General features: G+C 38.1%; 1 protein-coding gene across 12 annotated transcripts in view; it reads right to left on the bottom strand.

The window, feature by feature from the left end:
* UHRF2 (ubiquitin like with PHD and ring finger domains 2) overlaps positions 1–20,834 on the bottom strand; it is a 93,856-nt gene that overhangs the window by 11,351 nt on the left and 61,671 nt on the right. For 10 of the 12 annotated variants that reach the window (XR_428418.5, XR_007061241.1, XR_007061242.1 and 7 more), the window contains 6 exons: positions 20,204–20,313; positions 17,896–18,082; positions 13,938–14,061; positions 13,605–13,712; positions 8,779–8,883; positions 1,772–1,878 (listed from right to left, as the gene is read on the bottom strand). Coding sequence is in view for 6 of the 12 variants with exons in the window: in NM_152896.3 (NP_690856.1) it covers positions 1,772–1,878; positions 8,779–8,883; positions 13,605–13,712; positions 13,938–14,061; positions 17,896–18,082; positions 20,204–20,313 (741 nt within the window). In the remaining 6 variants the exon portion in view is untranslated. Of the gene's footprint in view, positions 1–1,713; positions 1,879–3,302; positions 3,402–8,778; positions 8,884–13,604; positions 13,713–13,937; positions 14,062–17,895; positions 18,083–20,203; positions 20,314–20,834 lie in introns of those variants that run through there. The other 2 variants (NR_046386.2, XR_007061244.1) reach the window with 2 other exon arrangements.

Below are 20,834 nucleotides of genomic sequence, written 5' to 3'. Positions count from 1 at the left end.
GCAACAAAGCTCCTCCATTAATCTATCTGCCACTCAGCCAGTCAGGTGCCTCTGACTGCCCTGATAAAAGATGGCCAGGTTACTTTGCTGCCCTCTTCAGTTTCTTAAAGTTTGAAGAGCTGGGAAGAAATAGGAATAAACTCAGAAGCAAGAAGGTGTCGAACTACCTCTTAGCAAAGAAGCAAAAATGAATTCAACCATACACTACTGGGCAAAGAGTATACTATGGGTCAGAGCAAAGTGCCTTTCACCTCAGTTTTCATGTTTGTAAGACATACAGGTACCTTTGCCCAAGCACTTTTACAATCACAAGGCGTATTCACAACTTAACGTATAAACTGACCAGATGTTAAAGTCTCTCTGATAATTCAATCCTAAATTGTTTTCAGTTGATATTTCATTTTCACTATCTCCTCTTTATAGAAAACATGTTTACTGCTTGTCAATTATTTTCTAATGAGATTGTAGCGGTACTTATCAGATTGTCCAAAAGTGTGAAAGGAATCTTAACATGTACATTACAATGGTGGGTAGTTATGAAGGAAGTTCCTTTCAAGCAAAATTATCGATTATTAAAGGGAAAAATAATTTTCAGATTTGACAACTTGAAAGAGTCCTTTTGCAAATTTGAGATACATTTTCATTGACAAAAACACATCAAAATATTTATTTTAAGACACTCTTCTTGAAGGACTGCTTTCTTGCTAGAAAAGAATAGCTAAGCTCCTGTCTCAAGAATGTTTTCACCAGCAAATCTGACCTGTCTCCTCTGCTGGTTCAGTAAAAATAATCCTACTATCAGAAACAATATAGAACACATAAAAACAGAGATTCTATGTAAATTGATACGCATGAAAGTCTTGAAATCATACTGGTATATTCTTTACATCACACAGTAATCAGAAATTAAGGGGACACTACTTAAAACTGAGTGATTTAGACTCAAAGTGAAAAACACTCACTTTTACTCAATCGACAAAATACCCTTAGTAACAGGATATAAAAACTGTTAACTTTATGAAATGTTCACAAAAATTTCAGCAGGACAAACTATAATGTGATTTTTGCTATCTGGTGGTCTGGGTTACTTATTAATATTGGTATTAGCATGCATTTATAAAATAAAACATTTTGAAATTAATAAATTTTCTGTACCCACGGGAGCTGAGATGTCATTAGTATTTCTATAGAATAAAGATCAGCACACGGTGGCTCTTTTGTAATGTCTTAAGGGGATTTAGTTAGAAAAGATCACTTTTGTAACTAAATGAACATTCCCTTTAACAACTCTTAGAAGATATCTGATTAGCAGACATTCTAAAAGTACATTCAGTACAGATCTGATTAAGTTACCTTATGTTTCATTTATGTACATAAATGTGGCTCCCAAACATAACTTTATTTCAAATTACTGAGTTTACTCTAAAAAGGAGTTTGTCACTTTTAGCTTTGACCAATGGAGTAGTAGACAAGCCACCTTATTCTCAATTTCACTTAAATTACACAGGCTCCTTTCCTTCAAAGTTGTTAACATTTTCAAATGCATATCACATGTATTCAGTAAGACTAGAAATTATGGCATTTAAAAAATAACAGTATAAAGATATGTTAGGATGCTGAAAAACAATTACATAATCAGGCACTGGAATTTTAATTTCAGATCTTTAACTCCCAGTTTGAAATTCTCCTCTGCAACGTAAGTTACAATTTACAGTCCTATAATGAAACTTTTATTCAATGTTCAAATTCTAAACAGTGTCTATAGTAGTACCTGTTCATGTTTGTTAATGTTTGATCAGCTGAAGGTGCACCAATTCTTTTGTTACCAGCAAGATTTTTACCACCGCTTCCAGTGTATGTGAACTCATCACCTCGGTCCTGTCAGAGAAGATTTTCTTTATTAAGAAAGCTAAACCCAAGTATAATTTCATCAATTCTTATTTCAGAGTCAAAACATTTCATTAGGATGTTATGAGTTGACATTTTCTCTTGAGGCATCTCCCAAAATAATGCAAAATTTAAATGCAATCTTGTGTGTAGTATACTTTCAAGTCATATAACTTGACCTAACACTTTCACTTTAAATTATACTTTTCAACATCTCCAAATATGGTTAGTCTCATGCTATATATGTAGTAAAATAATCAACAGAATGTTACAAACAAGGTAAGGTCTTATGGATTTAAATATTATATTTTATTCAATTCAATGTTAAAACTTATCAATACTAGCTTGTAGGTTCTTTATAGATAATACCACTTCAACAAACACTCCATAACCAAATTTCCAACTGACATCTACACCATACCTAAGTGTGCTGCCTCAAATTTCAAATTCTGGCATTGACAATAAATAAGTACTACAAAAGCAAATTTACCTAAAAACTTCACCTTAACTTTTTTTTTTTAAACAGAGTCTTGCTCTGTCACCCAGGCTGGAGTGCGGTGGCACGATCTCGGCTCGCTGTAGCCTCTGCCTCCCAGGTTCAATCGATTCTCCTGCCTCAGCCTCCCAAGCAGCTGGGATTACAGGAATGTGCCACTACGCCTGTCTAGCTTTTGTATTTTTAGTAGAGATGGGGTTTTGTCATGTTGGCCATGTTGGTCTCCAACTCCCGGTCTCAAGTGATCCACCCGCCTTGGCCTCCCAAAGTGCTGGGATTACAGGCATGACCCACTGCGCCCTGGCTTTCATATTAAAATTCTAACAGCATAGTTAAGTTCCCTTTATTTCACATTCTGTGGGTTCACCCATATCACACATTCAGGTAAAATAATAGCCTCCCATTAAGAAGAAATTTGGAAAAAATTTGAAAAATCTAAAAGTAGTATAAAGTATCTACTAAATGTAAAAAAAAAAAAAAAAAAAAAAGCCAAAAGCTCTCCAATTACTTCTATAGCAGCTACAAATTTATATGGATATTATTGTCTCTATCTGATTCAGTACTTGAAACAAATTAAGAAAAGTAACTATCAGTGCACAATTAATCCTACTAACACTAGCAAAATAGTGATTCTTTAATGCAAGATCATTTTAATTAGTTTAGACAACTTAGACAATGATGTTTTGTGTCTACTAAATTCGTATTATAGAAGTCAATTATTTATACTTTGTTTTTCCCTTGGATTAAAAGCCACAAATAAACATCTCATGGTCTTAAAGTGTTATTGGTCCAAAACCCTTAAATTTACTTTCACCTTTTGTTAATCCAATATTAAGGTCTACATATTTTTTAAACAAGGTATTACGAAACTTAATCTTTAGTATGTATTCTATGAGAAGGAATTCTAATAAATACGTACATCTAGAACAGTTTAGAATACTTCTTAAACTGATCAAAACCAGTCTTCCACCCGGTATCTGGACAGACTCCACAATATTCATATTCATAACTCTGTCAACTTTTCAAGTTATTATGGGAGTGCCATAAAGAAAAAGTAATGGAAAGTAAGAGAGCATAATAAGACAAATGTAAGCTAAATAGTATTTAAAACATTTCTGATTATTCTTCAAGCAGCAAATCAAGGAAACATGGCTAAAATTCTGTACCATTAACTCATTTGTACTTTAATCATTACATCAACAAAAACATTATATTATCACGAGGGAAAAAACTGTCAAGACTGTAAGAGCTCAAACCATATTATTTCAGGCTATTTTTCCTATGGAAAGGCCAGGCGCAATGATTCATGCCTGTAATCCCAGCACTGTGGGAGGCCAAAGCAGTTGGCCTGCTTGAGCCCAGGAGTTCAAGACCAGCCTGGGTGACATAGCGAGACCTTGTCTCTATTAAAAAATAAAAATAAAATATTTTTCCTATGGAAAAATAATCAGCCTAAATTTGTTGCATCTTCTAGTCAATGATCCATTAAATTGTGCCTGGCAGGCAGTAGCCTAAACAAGTTCTGCTGCCTGGGAAGAGCTCACATAAAGCAGCTCTATCTGCACAAGGGACACAGCACTGCCCCAAAGTAACTCAGTTCTTCAGTTATTCCCAACCTCTATTCTTCTCCCAAGCTGCTAAAGCAACTGCCTAAGACAACAAGCTGGATGCTCACATTCTTGCCATCATCAAGATCAGGTGGAAGACCTTTATCCCAAACTTCTCAGCCTCCTCCCTATAGACTATCAGATAAATAATTCCAAAGCACAATGAAGACAAACATTCTCCAAACTCCTTTAATGACTTAATTCAAGGTTGTCTAGACCATAGCCTCAAATGTTACCAACTTCTCTCATAACACCCTTTACATCCCTGCAAAACTGTACCACTGCTAGTGTAACACACATCTACTACTGGTGGGTTAGGTGGTGTTAGGAGAAGCATTTTACGTATAATTAATTCATTTAAACCTCACAGCAAGCCTTTAAGTGCTATAAATCTTATTTTACAGATGTGGCAGAGGTTCAGTAAATCGCCTAAAATCACACAACTAGGAAAAGAGATGGCTCCACAGCCAGGACACAAAACCAAACAGACTCTGGCTTCCGAGTCTTCTCCTGAACACTGAGCAAACTACTTCTCAAGACAACTGAGAGGTCATCTTTGTGGGTCCTCACTTCTCAGAAGAGGTCACCAAAATACAAGGCACTAAAACTGGCATTTGATTAATTCTTAAGTTACTAGGCTAAAATATTAACTCAGTTATCAGCAGGTACGCAAGAGTATTACATCCATTCACCCAGACAGAACAAAGATCACTGGCTTCATGAAATTTATACCAAATTCAAGAATTCAGGAAACTTTTTTTCTTAAATGTGAAAAGCTTATTCAGGTTTCCTTTTCCTAATCCTATAGATATACTTGCCTACAATAGAAAGATCAAAAAGTTGAAAATGCTTATAAAATATATAAACATTTCCAGACACATTTTAGCTGTCAATCAAGGCCTATATGTCATCTTAGTCCTAAAATTTTTCTTCACATTATGTAACAGACTTAACTAAGACAATTAGCAGTTCATCAGTACTTATCTCCACAAATGTTTTAACGTTTGACCAGTAAGTATATTCAAAAACATGGAAACAAGAAAATAAACTTCATATATTTAAGATAATATTCTTTTCTTCTTTTTAAAGACAGAGTCTCACTTTGTCATCCAGGCTGGAGTACAGTGATGTGATCTTGGCTCACCGCAACCTCTGCTTCCTGGGTTCAAGTGATTCTCCTGCCTCAGCCTCCCAAGTAGCTGGGATTACAGGCATGCATCACCACGCCTGGGTAATTTTTGTACTTTTAGTAGAGACGGAGTTTCATCATGTTGGCCAGGCTGGTTTCGAAGTCCTGACCTCAAGTGATCAGCCCACCTCGGACTCCGAAAGTGCTGAGATTACAGGCATGAGCCACTGTGACTGGCCTTATTTAATATTCTGCTACAGAGAATATAACTAACATTTGAGTCCGTGCTATGTGCAAAGGGCCACATAAATTATCTCAGTTAATGTAATCATCTTCTCCACATAAAATACTATTTCTTCTTTTTACAGATGGGGAAACTGAGTTACCAGAGTTAAATAATTTGGCCCAAGTCTCAAATACAACAAATGTCAGAGACCAGATCAAATACAATTGCTCAGACACTAAAAACAAATGTTAAAGAGACTACATTTCTAGTTGGTTTATTTATAAAGCCTTCAAAAAATTCCAAGAGCTGACTGTAATAAACTATATAACATCTTTTGTATTTCTGACAAATATACAAAGATATAGCTTCAAAATATGGATGCTAAAGAAGAATGCAAAGGATGAACCTAAATATTTCCATTTCCATTTACTTTGCCATGTTAATGTAAATGCACTGCCAAATCCGCCTTTCAGAAAGCCAGCACGCTTTTCTATTTGTCTGAAAACATACTATATTTTGTGTTCTCTCTCCATAACTACTCATATTGATTCATCTTTGTAACAATCCATGAAAGCAAGTAAATACCTGAAGACCACATATCTGATGAATGGTAAAAAAAAAAAAAAAAAACAAAAACCCAATTAGAAAATGGCCAAAAAACCTGAAGTGCTATACTACTAAAGAGGCTATACAGATGGCAAATAAGCAAACGAATCACGTCCAACAATAAGATATCAACACACACCTATCAGAATGGCTAAAACAAAAAACAGCAACAACAGCGAATGCTGGTGAGATGCAGAGAAACTGGATCACTCATATACTGCCGATAGGAACATAAAATGGTAGTCACTGGAGAAAACAGTTTGGCAGTTTCTTTAAACAACTAAACATGCAACTGCCACATATGACCCAGGAATTGCACTTCTGGGGCATTTATTCCAAAGAAATAAAGACTTACGTTTACAAAAAACCTGTTCACAAATATTTACTGTAGCTTTATCTGTAATAGCTAAAAACTCAAAAGAACCCAGCTGTTCTTCCATGAGTAAATGATTAAATGAACTGTGGTACATCCACACCATGGACTAGTACTCATCAATAAAAAGAAATGAACTATTGATACATGCCACAATCTCCAGAGAATCATGCTGAGTGGAAAAAGCCAATCCTAAAGGTTAATATATAATATGCTACATACTTCCATTTATAAAAATTCTTGAAGTGAGAAAATTACAGGAAGAAATGAGGCTGGGAGCAGTGGCTCACGCCTGTAATCCCAGCACTTTGGGAGGCTGAGGTAGGCGGGTCACTTGAGGTCAGGAGTTTGAGACCAGCCTGGCCAACATGGTGAAACCCCACCTATACTAAAAATACAAAAATTAGTCAATGGCGATGCATGCCTGTAGTCCCAGCTACTCGGAAAGCTGCACCAGGAGAATCACTTGAACCTGGGAGGCAGAGGTTGCAGTGAGCCGAAATCGCATCACTGCCCTGTAGCCTGGAAGACAGAGTGAGACTCTATCTCAAAAAAAACAAAACAAAACAAAAAAAAAACACTCAGCACGGTAGCTCATGCCTGTAATCCCAGCACTTTGGGAAGCCGAGGTGGGCAGATCACCTGAGGCCAGGAGTTCCAGACTAGCCTGGCCAATATGGAGAAACCCCATCTCTAGTAAAAACACAAAAATTAACCGGCCGCCTGTAATCCCAGCTATTCAGGAGGCTGCTTGCAGTGAACTGAGATGGCGCCATTGCACTCCAAGCTGGGCGACAAGGGCAAGATTCCATCTCAAAAAAAAAAAAAAAAAAAAAAAAGAAAAGAAAAAGAGAAAAGATTAGTGGTTGTCAGAGGTTAAGAAGCAGTGGGGGGGCTACGTCTGATAGGTGTAGCTATAAAAGGGCAACACAATAATGGAAACTGTGGTAATATAAATGTTCAGCCTGACTGTATAGTGTCAATATCCTGGTTCTGATATTGTACTATATAGTTTTGCAAGATGTCACCACTGGGAGAAACTGGGTAGAGGGCACAGGATCCCCTTCCCGCATTTTTTTTTTTTTTTTTTTTTTTTTTTTTTTTTTTTTTTTTTTTTTTTTTTTTTTTAAGGAGACAGGGTCTTGCTCTCTGTTCACCCAGGCTGGAGTGCTGCGCTGGCATGATCATGGCTCACTACAGCCTCGACCTCCTGAGCTCAAGCAATCCTCCTGCCTCATCCTCCTGGGTAGCCGGGACTACAGGCACATGCCACCACACCCAGCTAATTTCTCTGTTTTTTTGGTAGGGACAGGGCTTTGCCACGTTGCCCAGGCTGGTCTTGAACTCCTGAGCTCAAGAGATTCACCCACTTCAGCCTCTCAAAGTGCTGGGATTACAGGCATGAGCCACTGGATTCGGCCCTCTGTATTGTTTCTAATGCTACACGTGAATCTACAACTATCTCAAAATAGTAAGTTTAATTTTAAAAAATAAACTCTATAGATTTAACACTGGAACCAGTTTTTATTTTTTAAAAGAGAAAACTTAAAGAAGAATGACCAAAAAAAGCTCTATAGAGGATGGGCACCGTGGCTCACGCCTATAATCCCAGCAGTTTGGGAAGCCAAGGTGCGCAGATCATCTGAGGTCAGGAGTTTGAGACCAACCTGGCCAACATGGCGAAACCCCAGCTCTACTAAAAATACAAAAATTGACCAGGTGTGGTGGCTCACGCCTGTAATCCCAACACTTTGGGAGGCCAAGGCGGGAGGATCACCTGAGGTCAGGAGTTCGAGACCAGCCTGGCCATCGTGGTGAAACCCCATTTCTACTAAAAATACAAGAATTAGCCAGGCACAGTGGTGCATACTTGTAATCCCAGCTACTCAGGAGGTGGAGGCAGGAGAATCGCTTGAATCTGGGAGGAGGAGATTGCAGTAAGCCGAGACTGAGCCACTGAACTCCAGTCTAGGTGACAAGAGTAAAACTCCGCCTCAAAAAATAAATACATAAAAATACAAAAATTAGCCAGGTGTGATGGCAGGCGCCTGAAATCTCACATACTTGGGAGGCTGAGGCAGGAAAATCACTTGAACCCAAAGGCAGAGGTTGCAGGGAGCTGAGATCACACCACTGCACTCCAGCCCAGGTGATATAGCGAGACTCCATCTCAAAAAAAAAAAAAAAAAAAAAAAAAGGAAAAAAAAATAAAAGCTCTATAGAGAATGTGTTTTCCTTATAATAATCACTTAACAAACACATATAAGTCAAACCAGTACATGTAAAGAATAAACACTGTCAAATGATTTACTTTCTAACTTGTATAAAACTGATTACTTCAACAAAAACTGTGCTAAAAAGACACAACAGTATTTGATGTATCCTAGGCAAAGCTATTCTATTTTACAAATGGTCAAGGCAGGTACTAATGAGTAAGGTTGTATAATGACTTACGACTTCATCCGCAAATCCACCAGCCAGTACAAGAGAATAAGCCCCATCATTACTTCGACCATGAATTCCACCAACATGGGGTCTGTGAACACCTGCTTCGCTCACCTATAAAACAATTAAAGAGAGTCTCAAAATACCTCTGAACAGTTAAGATACATTTACAAAATGCTTTCATATATATTCTTGGTACCTAAAGACCCAAGAAGTGAGTCTCACAGAGTTCTATCTTTTGCTCTCTCATTTTAAATCTCCTGGTACCTAAAGATCCAAGAAGTGAGTCTCACAGAGTTCTATCTTTTGCTCTCTCATTTTAAATCTCCTCAAACATATCCTTTAGGTTCTGAGAATTCTAAAACTGATTGCGTAGAATTCTGAGTTGCACAATAACTAGTAAATAATCATCTTATGTCTATTGGAACTTCCAGCTCAACTCAGCTAAAAGAGGACTACCAGCAGTCTATACCGTTTCTCTCTTATTTCTAGTCTTGGATAGTGGCCCTGTTGCCTACCTAGTTTGTGAAGTCAAAAATGCAGGAGTTATTTTAGCCCCATTCTTCTCCCTTATTCCTCAAACCCTTTTGGTTACAAGGATTGCTGATTTTACCTCCTAAATTTCTCAAATCCATCTTCTTGTACTTCCACTGTTCAATCGTAGTTTGAGTCATGAATGCTCACAACAGATCCTTTTTTTACTGCCTCTAGTTTTGCTCCTTCAAACCCATCCTATCTATCACAAACTGGATGATTCTTTTAAAAATAATTCTGCTTTTGACTTTCAACTTCTTAAAATATATTAAGTGGTCACACAGTATCAAACCCAAGTCAACATGATTTATTACCCTCTCTAAATATGGCTCCTATCTATTTTTCCTAGCCTTATGTGCAGCTTCTCCTTCAAGGAACATATATGCCTGAGCCAAAACTACTCAATATTACCCAAACATGCTATCCATTTCTACTTCAATGGATGACGGCTTTTCCCCTCATATCTTCATTCCTGCCTCACTGAAACAAGTGTCACTTCTTTGTGAACTTCAAACTCCCTGAAAAAGGTATTGCAGTTCATCTGTTGGTCATACAATTGGTTTTGGGTTTTGTTTTTTTTTTTTTTTTTTTTTTTTTGGGTAGAGACAGGGGTCTCACCATGTTGCCCAGGCTGGTCTTGAACTCCTGGGCTCAAGCAATCCTCCAGCCTCAGCCCCCAATAGTGTTGGGATTATGGTGTGAGCCACCACGCCTGGCCAATACAATTGTTCTTAGCAGAGTAAAGGAAACTGAATTCAAGCTTGCACAATAATTTGGGGCGGGGGGCGGGGGTGGAAAGGCACTTTAGAAGCTTTTAGAAGCCAACAAGAAGGTGACAGCAACAGAACCTGGAAAGGTTTTGGCTTTTGAAACACCTCAGCAGAAGGTACCATTTGATCTCCCCACCTCATCAACCCTGGCCAAAATAATCTGTTTTTCCTAAATCTTCCCCACTTTCTAAATAGCAAATCCATCTCACTAGATGCTCAGGAAAACAACCTCATAGTCATCTTAGACTATATAAGGAGGCTTTCAGAGTTTAGAAAATAAATACGTGACAGACAGGTATACGAAAAAAGATGCAAAAAAATAAGGCAATTAGAAATACACAAAGTGTATTTTTACTATATTTATAGTAGTATATTCAATTTATATACAGTATTTTATTGTATTTATAGATCCAAAGTCATAATAACCTAAACTCTGAATACTGGTTCAACCAAAATTATAATACAACTATTGCAAAGATAAGAGAACACAGAGAGTATTAAACTAAATGTTTCATCTTCCACAGAAAGAAGTTAATATGGCTGGGCACGGTGGCTCACGCCTGTAATCCCAGCACTTTGGGAGGCCAAGGCGGGTGGATCACCTGAGGTCGGGAGTTTGAGACCAGCCTGACCAACATGGAGTAACCCCATCTCTACTAAAAATACAAAATTAGCTGGGCATGGTGACGTATACCTGTAATACCAGCTACTTGGGAGGCTGAGGCAGGAGAATTGCTTGAAACCAGGAGGCGGAGGTTGCGGTGAGCCGAGATTGTGCCACTGCACTCCAGCCTGGGCAACAACAGCAAAACTCCGTCTCAAAAAAAAAAAAAAAAAAAAAAAAAGAAAGAAGTGAATACAACTAAAAGATAAATTAAAAACAGTATAAATACATTATTTATTAATAGAAATAAGAAGGTAGGGCAAGGCACAGTGGCTCATACCTGTAATCCCAGTACTTTGGGAAACTAAGGCAGGAGAAATTGACCCCAGGGATTCAAGATCAGTCTGGGCAATATGGTGAAACCCAGACTCTACAAAAAAAAAAAAAAACACAAAAATCAGCTGGGTGTGGTGGTGTGTGCCTGTAGTTTCAGCTACTCTGGTGGCTCAGAGTAAAGGACAGCTTGAGCCCAGGAGGGGACTGTGATTATGGCACTGCATCCAGGAGGAGGGGGGAGGAGGGAGGAGGGAAGAGACAGGAGGGAGGAGGGAGGAGGGAGGAGGAGGAGGAGGAGAAGCTGCTGCCACACCTGCCACCACCGCCGCCACTAAGCCTATAATCCCAGTGCTTTGGGAGGCCAAGGCTGGAGTACTGCTTTAGGCCAGGAGTCTGAGACTAGCCTGGGTAACATAGCATGACCCTGTCTCTACCAAAAAACAAAACAAAACAAAAACACAGCCAGGCATGGTGGTATACATCTTTACATCTTTAGTCCTAGCTAGGTGGAATGATCACTTGAGCCCAGAAGTCTGAAGTTACAGTGAGCTGTCATTGCTACTGCACTCCAGCCTGGGTGATAGAGCAAGACCCTGTCTCTTAAAAAAAAAAAAAAAGAAAGAAAGAAATAAGAAGGTAAATGCATAGGAGACAACTAAAATTTTAAAGTGGCTGCCTCTGAGAAACAGAAAATGATGATGAAGCCGGGTGCAGTGGCTCACGCCTGTAATCCCAGCACTTTGGGAGGCTGAGACAGGCAGATCACCCGAGGTTGGGAGTTCGAGACCAGCCTGACCAACATGGAGAAACCCTGTCTCTACTAAAAATACAAAATTAGTCAGGCGTGGTGGTGCATGCCTGTAATCCCAGCTACTTGGGAGGCTGAGGCAGGAGAATTGCTTGAACCCGGGAGGTAGAGGTTGTGGTGAGCCAAGATCGTGCCATTGCACTCCAGCCTGGGCAACAAGAGTGAAACTCTGTCTCCAAACAAACAAACAAAAAAGATAAAAGTAGGGCGCGTTTTTAAAATATAAATTATTTACTAGTATTTAATATATACATAGCTTTTCAAGCCATTTTTATGTATTACAGTTGGCCCACAGGTTCCACATCTGCCAAGTCGAGAGAGTAAAAAATATTTGGGAAAAATAAACAGACGGCTGTGTCTGTACTGAATCTGTCCAGACTTTTTCTTGTCATGATTCTGCAAACAATACAGTGTTAACAACTATTTACATAGCATTTACACTTTATTAGGTATTATAGGTAATCTAGAGGTGATTTAACATATAAAGGAGGATGTGCATAGGTTATATGAAAATACTGCACCATTGTATAAAGGATTTTTTTTTTTTTTTTTTTTTTTGAGACAGAGTCTCGCTCTGTCACCCAGGCTGGAGTGCAGTGGCACAATCTCGGCTCACTGCAACCTCTGCCTCCTGGGTTCAAGCAATTCCCCTGCCTCAGCCTCCTGAGTAGCTGGTATTATAGGCGCTTGCCACCACACCTGTCTGATTTTTGTATTTTTAGTAGAGATGGGTCTCACCATGTTGGCGAGGCTGGTTTTGAATTCCTGGCCTCAAGCGATCTGGCTGCTGCGGCCTTCCAAAGTGCTGAGATTACAGGTGTGAGCCACCACACCAGCCTGAGCTTGTGTGCAATTTGAGCATCCACAGACTTTGGTGTCTATAGGGGATCTTGGAACCAATCCCCGACAGATACCAAGGGATAAGTGTATGTTATCTAAATGTTATATTGTATTAAAGGTCTAAGTACCAGGGCCATTCAATATAAAAATTAAAGCCAGGCCGGGCGCAGTGGCTCATGCCTGTAATGGGAGGCCAAGGCAGGTGGATCACGAGGTTAGGAGATCGAGACCATCCTGGCTAACACGGTGAAACCTCGTCTCTACTACAAATACAAGAAATTAGCCAGGCGTGGTGGCAGGCGCCTGTAGTCCCAGCTACTTTGGAGGCTGAGGCAGGAGAATGGCGTGAACCCACGAGGCAGAGCTTGCAGTGAGCTGAGATCGCACCACTGCACTCCAGCCTAGGCAACAGAGCAAGACTCCATCTCAAAAAAAAAAAAAAAAGGCCCCTCTTATTTAATATTCAGAATCCTGGGTGTCTGTAATTGGAAATGGGAAATTATTTTATTCTTGGATTAGCTGGCACTTCCTCTGCCCAATGTCTTAGCATTTGTTCAGGAGGATAAATCCCAAAAACAACACCTGAAACAAGCTTAGAGTTCCACGACATTCAATGAGAATTTGCCACATGATTCAAGTTTAATATTTCAAATGCTAAATTTTTGGCAGGAAAGGCTGTTTAGAAAGCTTAACAATAATGGTTACTACCACAACTATAACAGAACAGTAAAAACAAAGTGATGAAAATGCATAGCTAATGCCCAATTCTGTGATGTATGTTCCTTTGTTAACCTCCAGGAAGAGTACACCCATCCTAAAAAATATATTTCATTCTAACAAGTGAATGTCATGTGTTAGGTTCACTTACAATCAACAGACATTAACATTGCTATAATCTGATAGCCAATTCTCCCCTTTCAACTAAGCCCAAGTTAAAACATACCTGAACTCTAAATCTCCAAGTTGATCCAACAGGAATACCAGGAATGGGTCCATAATGATTAGAAGGGACAATAGTACATTCTCTCGTACGACCAACACAAGCCATTCCCTACAAGACGCAAAACAAACGTTGAGAAATCAGTTATGTTAAATTTTAATGAAAGCCCTTAATTCTGAGATGTGACTAGGAACCCAACTGTTTATGTAATTTAAGTACCATTGATATTAACAAATAATGATACTGTTTAATCTTTTATACCATTACTACTATTGGTATTAAAACATTATATATTATAACTTGCTATTAGGAAGAAAAGGGGAATTTCTTCTTTACCCTGCCCCAGTCTCTTCGGCTTTCAGTACTAGCTGACGGCATCTTTGCTTTCTTTTTACTCATCTTGAGTCTTTCACCAGCCTTTACAACTTCACTGGAATCAGTTTTACAAGAAGGACAATACCTTTAAAAGAAAAAAAAGAACGAAGGCATTTTCACAATACCATATTAAAGCTAGTAACAGAATATTAGCCTTCCTAGGTAAGAGCAAGTTTTAAGATGTATTATTTGGTATACATTACAGAGCTTTAACTGGCATTAAAATACTAAACTTTTCAAAATATTTACATGGTTAGGCTGGCTTTAAAAATATCCTTGTCATTCCTTTAGATAACTTATAAATCCTCAAATTCAGTTCAAAACTCAAAGCTATGAGATTCAAAATGATACCATGAACTCTAAACTTATCACTAACCCTGAGAATAGAAATTTGAAGTTCCTGTCATTAAAACAAAAGTAGCTAGATCTTCCTAGAACATTCAACTGTGTAACAGATACAACTCCCCATCTAAATTGGTTATTAGAATTCCCAGAGAAAAATGGTAGTTTATATAACAAGTATACAGGACTTCAAGGATGTTTGTTTATATTAACCTTATCGCTAGCTTCATTTTAATTGCTTATGCTTGTTTGTCCTTTAGCCTATTTGTAATTGATTACCCTACTGTAACTTGTATTTCGTAAACTGCCTTGAATCTTTTCTAAAAAGCAAGGTATACGTCTACAGAATGAGAGGAGGCTATTCTTATGTCACCAAGCAAAGGAAACTCTGGGAATACTCTAACAAAGATCTAATGGCTACTGCCCAATTAATCTTAAATTTCTTTGCCCATACTTTCTATTTCACAATTATCTATTCTACGTAGCTTTTAGAGCAAAGAAGACTATGCCCACAAGTCAATCCAATTATGAGATACTTTGTTGAGCACTATAGGAGAGAAAAATTTAAATAATTCAGTCCCTGATCTTGAGCAAATTATGTTTGAGAAGGCACTAAATACTATGAAGTAAAGTCCTTTCTAGTTGGGAAATCAGGAAGGCTTCCAAAAATAAACTGTCCTAAAGAAAAGCTGTATTTTATCTGATGGGCTCATCTTTATAACTAACTGTATTAAAGATTCTGTGATTTAAAGCAAGTATTATCTCTCTGATGAGAAAATTAGTGCACAGGTTAAATATCCAGACAACATGATTTGGAGAAGCAGAAAAGATTTAAGGTTAAGGAGTTTCAGGTGAAGCGAAAGACCTTGATACGAATGTAGAGATATATTCCAGAGTAATACAAAACACTCTTCTAATTATACCATCCTAAAGTCATCTCTGGGATTGATTCACTCCTTCAACAGGTTTGTTCAGAACCTCCTATGTGCAAGGCACTATTTTCGTGCTGGGGATAAATGTTTGTGATAAAAATGTTTGTACATAGTAGTGAAGGAAAGCCAGAACATATACGGAAAGAATTTCAGAAAGTGTTAAGTGGAAATACATCAGGGTTATATGTGACAAGAGTGACTAGAAGTGGTATGCTTCTTACAGTAGATAACCTAAGAAAAGCATTCCTGGCAAAGAAACAGTTAAGTGCAAAGGTCCTGAGGCATAAAAAGAAATGGTATGCTTTGAGGAAGACAAAGGTGGGTAGAGACCAAGGTTAGTAAGTAAACAGGTTAGTGATAAGCAACCGAAGTTAGAGAGTAGATATGGACCAGGTCATAAATGGTAAGGGCTTAGATTTTTTTTATTCTAAGTGAAATAGGAAGACATCAGAGGGTTTCAAACAGATGAATGATCTAATTCAGGCCTTTTTAAGCTCATTCTGCTGCTATGGGAGAACGGATAGTACATGGAAGCAAAGAGTCTAGTTAGACATCCGTTACAGAAGTTCAAGGAAGAGATGGTAGTTTGGGCTGGGAGGTGAGAATGGAGAAATATTAAGAACTGTCAAAATCTATTGAGGTAGAGTATGTGAAAGAACAAAAGAAGAATTGGGATGAAGTTTAGCTTTTTGGCATGAACAAGTAGATAAAATGATTAGTACTATTTAATGAAGACTGGGGGAGGAGCAGGATTTTAGGGAGTTTGTGGAAATCAAGAACTCCATCTGGACTAATTTTGTGGTCCCAGTCAACTAACCAACTGCATACAGGAATATAAAGCCCAGGGGAAATTAGATATGAAGACATAAATTCAGAACTATTAGCTTGGTATTTAACATCTCATAATTGGACGAGATCATCTAGGGAACAAGCATAGTTCCCTAGCATAGAAAAGAAGTGGATGGTGCTTTGGCAGGGTTGGGGGTGGGAGTGGATGGGGTGCTCTGAAATCTGGTAGGTGACGGGAACCCAACAAGAGACTAAGAAGGAAAGGCCAGTGAAGTAGGTAGAAAATCGGGATTACCTGATCTCAAATCTATAAAACAGAGTAACCAGCTAAGCAGTTGAGTAAGGAATGAGAACTGACCCTTAGGTTTAGACATAAAAAGTGTCTGTGAACCTGACATAAGCAGATACAGTGGAAGGAAAGCTAGACTGGAGTGCTGAAGTATGAATAGGAGAGGAAATGGAAACAATTAGTAGAGATAGCTCTTGAGAATCTTTGCATGAAAGAAGCAGAGAACGGGGTAGGCAGCCAGTGGGAGAAATGGGATCAAGGAAGGTTTGTGTGTATTTTGAAAATTCAAGAGATTCTAGAATGCTAATGAGAATGATCTAGTAATGGCAACGTGGGAGAGGAATTAACTGAAGAAGTGAAGTTTCTGGAAAGACTATGGAACTGTGAGAGCAGGTGAAAGAGCGTATTTTAGAGAAGCAGGAATATGTCATCCATTGAACAAGAAAGAAGGAAAATATGAGACGTCAGAGGAAATAGTTATTAGCGATGGTAAAATTCAGAGTGTGATCATATGAGGTAGTAGTAGGAGGTAAAAGGAAGAAGATATATCCTTTCCCCCTTTCTCTCACCTCTACAGCCTGTCATAATACAGCAATTGCCTTCCCAACAGGTTAGGGAGAGATCAAAGGAACAATCTATTTTTCACAGATACCAATTACCCACTTGTGACATCAGTTATTTCTGACTCAGTCGTCCGTCTTACTTAAAAACGCTCACCAGTAGCAATATGGCACATAGTTTAAAAAGAAAAAACCTCCTTAACATGGTATTAAAAGGTTCAACTTTGGAAACATTTTTCCCAGTCTCTTTTCTAATAACTTCTTTTTGTAGTTATCACCACGCCATAGGAGAAAAATAGATTTTGGCAAGTATAATTGGAGCCTTCTTCAATGTATCAACGTCACAGGATTAAATACAGTAATCCATATAAACCACTTTGTTAGTGTTTAGTAAATATTAAGTACTATTATAGAACATAACAAGGATATCTAACATGGTTAGGGGTAGAGGACCATCCATAAAGGATTACCAGAGGAAGCCACATTTAACTGAAAAGCTGAAGGATTAGTATCGTCTTGAAGTTAACCAAAGAGGGTAATGTTTCCAGGATAAAAATATGTCAAGTGTGACAACCTGAAAAAGAACATGGCTTACTTAAGGAGTTGAAAGATATTTAATCTGGCTACAGTGTAGAGTATTTGGGGAAATGAAAGAGGAAAGTGGTAAGAGATACTGCTGGAGAAGCAACTAAATATCACACAGGGTCCTCCTGTAAGGCAACATAAACCATCTGAAGCAACAAAGCAACATGATCAGATTTGCATTTTTGAATGAACACAGAGTCTATTATCAGAGAAGAAACGGAAGGGATTAAAAAATGGAGCAAGAGATGGTTCAGAGGTTGTTACAGTAATTGAATAGAGCTATGAATGCTAAGTAACCACTGGCCATAACATTTTAAGCACTTTTATATTATGTATCTTTAGAAATCTACTTTTGGTGGTTCAAATACATATTTCATGTTTACACAGCAAGAACAACAACAACAAAAACCTGATAATCATACCAGTATTCCTCTTCTGGGACTTTATCCAAAGGTGGATTCAGACAGTAAATATGATAAGCCACATTACATTCATCACACAGAAGCTGCATGTTGGGTTCATGTTTCCCACCACATACACGACAGGAGCAAGAATGACATTTCTTTTCTGGGTCTCCACCACACAGGTCACATTCAGGGTCATTTCGCCCTATTAAGAACAAAATTATAGCAAGTCTAGTCTTAAAACATTTTTTATATCTATGAATCTCATAAAGAAAAGCCCATGGAAACAGCATTTTTTTTGAAATGGAGTTTTGCTCTTGTTACCCAGGCTGGAGTGCAATGGCGTGATCTTGGCTCACTGCAGCCTCTGCCTCCCGGGTTCAAGCGATTCTCCCGCCTCAGCTTCTCGAGTAGCTGGGATTACAGGCATGTGCCACCACGCCTGGCTAATTTTTTTATTTTTTAGTAGAGATGGGGTTTCTCCATGTTGGTCAGGCTGGTCTCAAACTTCCAACCTCAGGTGATCTGCCCGCCTCAACCTCCCAAAGTGCTGGGATTACAGATGTGAGCCACCACACCCAGTCTTTTTTTTTGAGATGGAGTCTCACTCTGTCACCCAGGCTGGAGTGCAATGGTGCCAATCTTAGCTCACTGCAGCCCCTGCCTCCTGGGTTCAAGTAATTCTCCTGCCTCAGCCTCCGGAATAGCTGGGATTACAGGCGCCTGCCACCACACCCAGCTAATTTTTGTATTTTTAGTAGAGACAGGGTTTCACCAGGTTGGCCAGACTGGTCTCAAACTCCTGACCCCTCAGGTGATTCACCAACCTTGGCCTCCCAAACTGCTGTCACCCAGCCAGCATACAGCTTTTCTAATGAAAAGAAAGGAACCAAAAAGAATAATCAAGTGTGAGGTTTTAAGAATAAATGCCTGAGGCCGGGCGTGGTGGCTCATGCCTGTAATACCAGCACTTTAGGAGGCTGGGTTGGGCGGATCACGAGCTCAGGAGTTCGAGACCAACCTGGCCAACACAGTGAAACCCCGTCCCTGCTAAAAATACAAAAGTTAGCCAGGCATGGTGGTGGGTGCCTGTAATCCAAGCTACTCGAGAGGCTAAGGCAGGAGAATCACCTGAACCCGGGAGGCAGAGGTTGCAGTGAGCCGAGATTGCGCCACTGCACTCCAGCCTGGGCAACAAGAGCAAAACTGTCTCAAAACAAAAAACAAAAAACAAACAAAAAAAGCCCCATCATGAATTAAAAGACCTAGAATCTAATCCTGTCTCTGTTACCAAATATTTGATATCAAGTAAGAAAAATCCGTTAAATGAAGAGGTACAGCTGCATTCTAACCTTCAAATGTTTATATAAGCCTCATTTATTACCTCCCAGAAATTCAAGGCTCAATCAGCACTATAATTCTAAGGCTTTACTCGTGTAAAAATAAATCTCATTATTAAAAACTAAACTTGGGTGGCTAACAAAATTACAGAAACAGGCTTTTTCTTTGGACAGAATCTATAACAGAAGAAACAGCAAGAAACGCATCAACAGATAAAAAGACAATATGGTATATACATATACAATAAAATATTATTCTGCCATAAAAAATAATAGAATCCTTTCATTTACAACATGGATGAAACTGGAGAACATTATGTTAAGTGAAAGAAGCCAAGTACAGAAGGACAAATGTGACATGTTCTCTTCCATATGTGGGAGCCAAAAAAAATTGATCTTGTGCAGGTGGAGAATAGAATGATGATGGTTATCAGAGTCTGGGAAGGGAAGTGGGACAGGGGATAAAGAAGGGTTGGCTATAGGGTGCAAAGATACAGTTAGACAGAAGGAATAAAATCTAGTATTCAGAAGCACGATGGGGGACTACAGTTAACATTTACTGTATGTTTCAAAATCGCTAAAAGAATAGATTTAGAATGTTCCCAACACACACAAAAAATGATAGAATGTTTGAGGTGATGAATATCCCAGTTTCCCAGATTTGATCATTTACACACTGTATGCCTGTATCAAAATATCACATATACTCCTTAAATATCTACAACTATTATATATCCATAAATATTTTTAAAATAAAATAATAGCAATAAAATACCAAGATAATATATTTCTTCAAAAATAACACTTAATCATTTAGGAAAAATTCATTAAAACAAAATGAATCTTAGATCAAAACTGTTGTCTTGAAAATAAATTTGTATGGTCTACAGTTTTATACTTCCTTCCAAGTTATTCACTGACCAGTAAAAATAAAGTTCAATCATGTACAACACATGTAGTCTAAGACCAAAAACAAAAATCCATACTTAAAAACTTTCCATCTGCAAATGAAAGGGGATGGGCTCCAGGTCTCTCAATCTTGAAGATTTCATCTACAGATATTATCTTGCAGTCATTTAATGTTCCTTCAGAACCCCTGTTTAAAAAAGGAAGAAAGGTTAACTTCTGCCAGCAAAATCTAAGGTATATACAAATAATAATTAAAAGCCAGTTTGGAATCTCACTGAAATCTGTCTATTTATAAATTGAGATTAGAGCTATTCCAATCATTCTGAACTATTGTTTTCAATAGTAGGAAAAGTCCATAGTGATTAGTTAACATTCATAGTGTAATATGAGAAAAAAAATACAGACTTCATTAGATAATCTGGTAAGAAGTAGCTAACTTGTAAATTTAAAGACTAGATAAAATGGCACTCTGTCAATTAAAATGAAAGATTTAAATAACTTCCTGTTAAATCTGTGCAATATTAAACCTTTCTATCAAGAAATAAGGTATGTTTTCTGTTTGTTTTGTCCTTTGGTAGAATTTTAACATTTCTTTTATGTAAGCAATATATTTTTATATACTTTTGTGAAAATGTAATTATATGGGATAATTCTGTAACAATTTATTTAAAAAATCTACAAAAAATAAATTTCCAATAAATATAATTT

Source organism: Homo sapiens, chromosome 9 (genome assembly GCF_000001405.40).
Source record: "Homo sapiens chromosome 9, GRCh38.p14 Primary Assembly".
NCBI lineage: Eukaryota > Metazoa > Chordata > Mammalia > Primates > Hominidae > Homo > Homo sapiens.
This window is presented reverse-complemented; position numbering and strand designations above follow the sequence as displayed.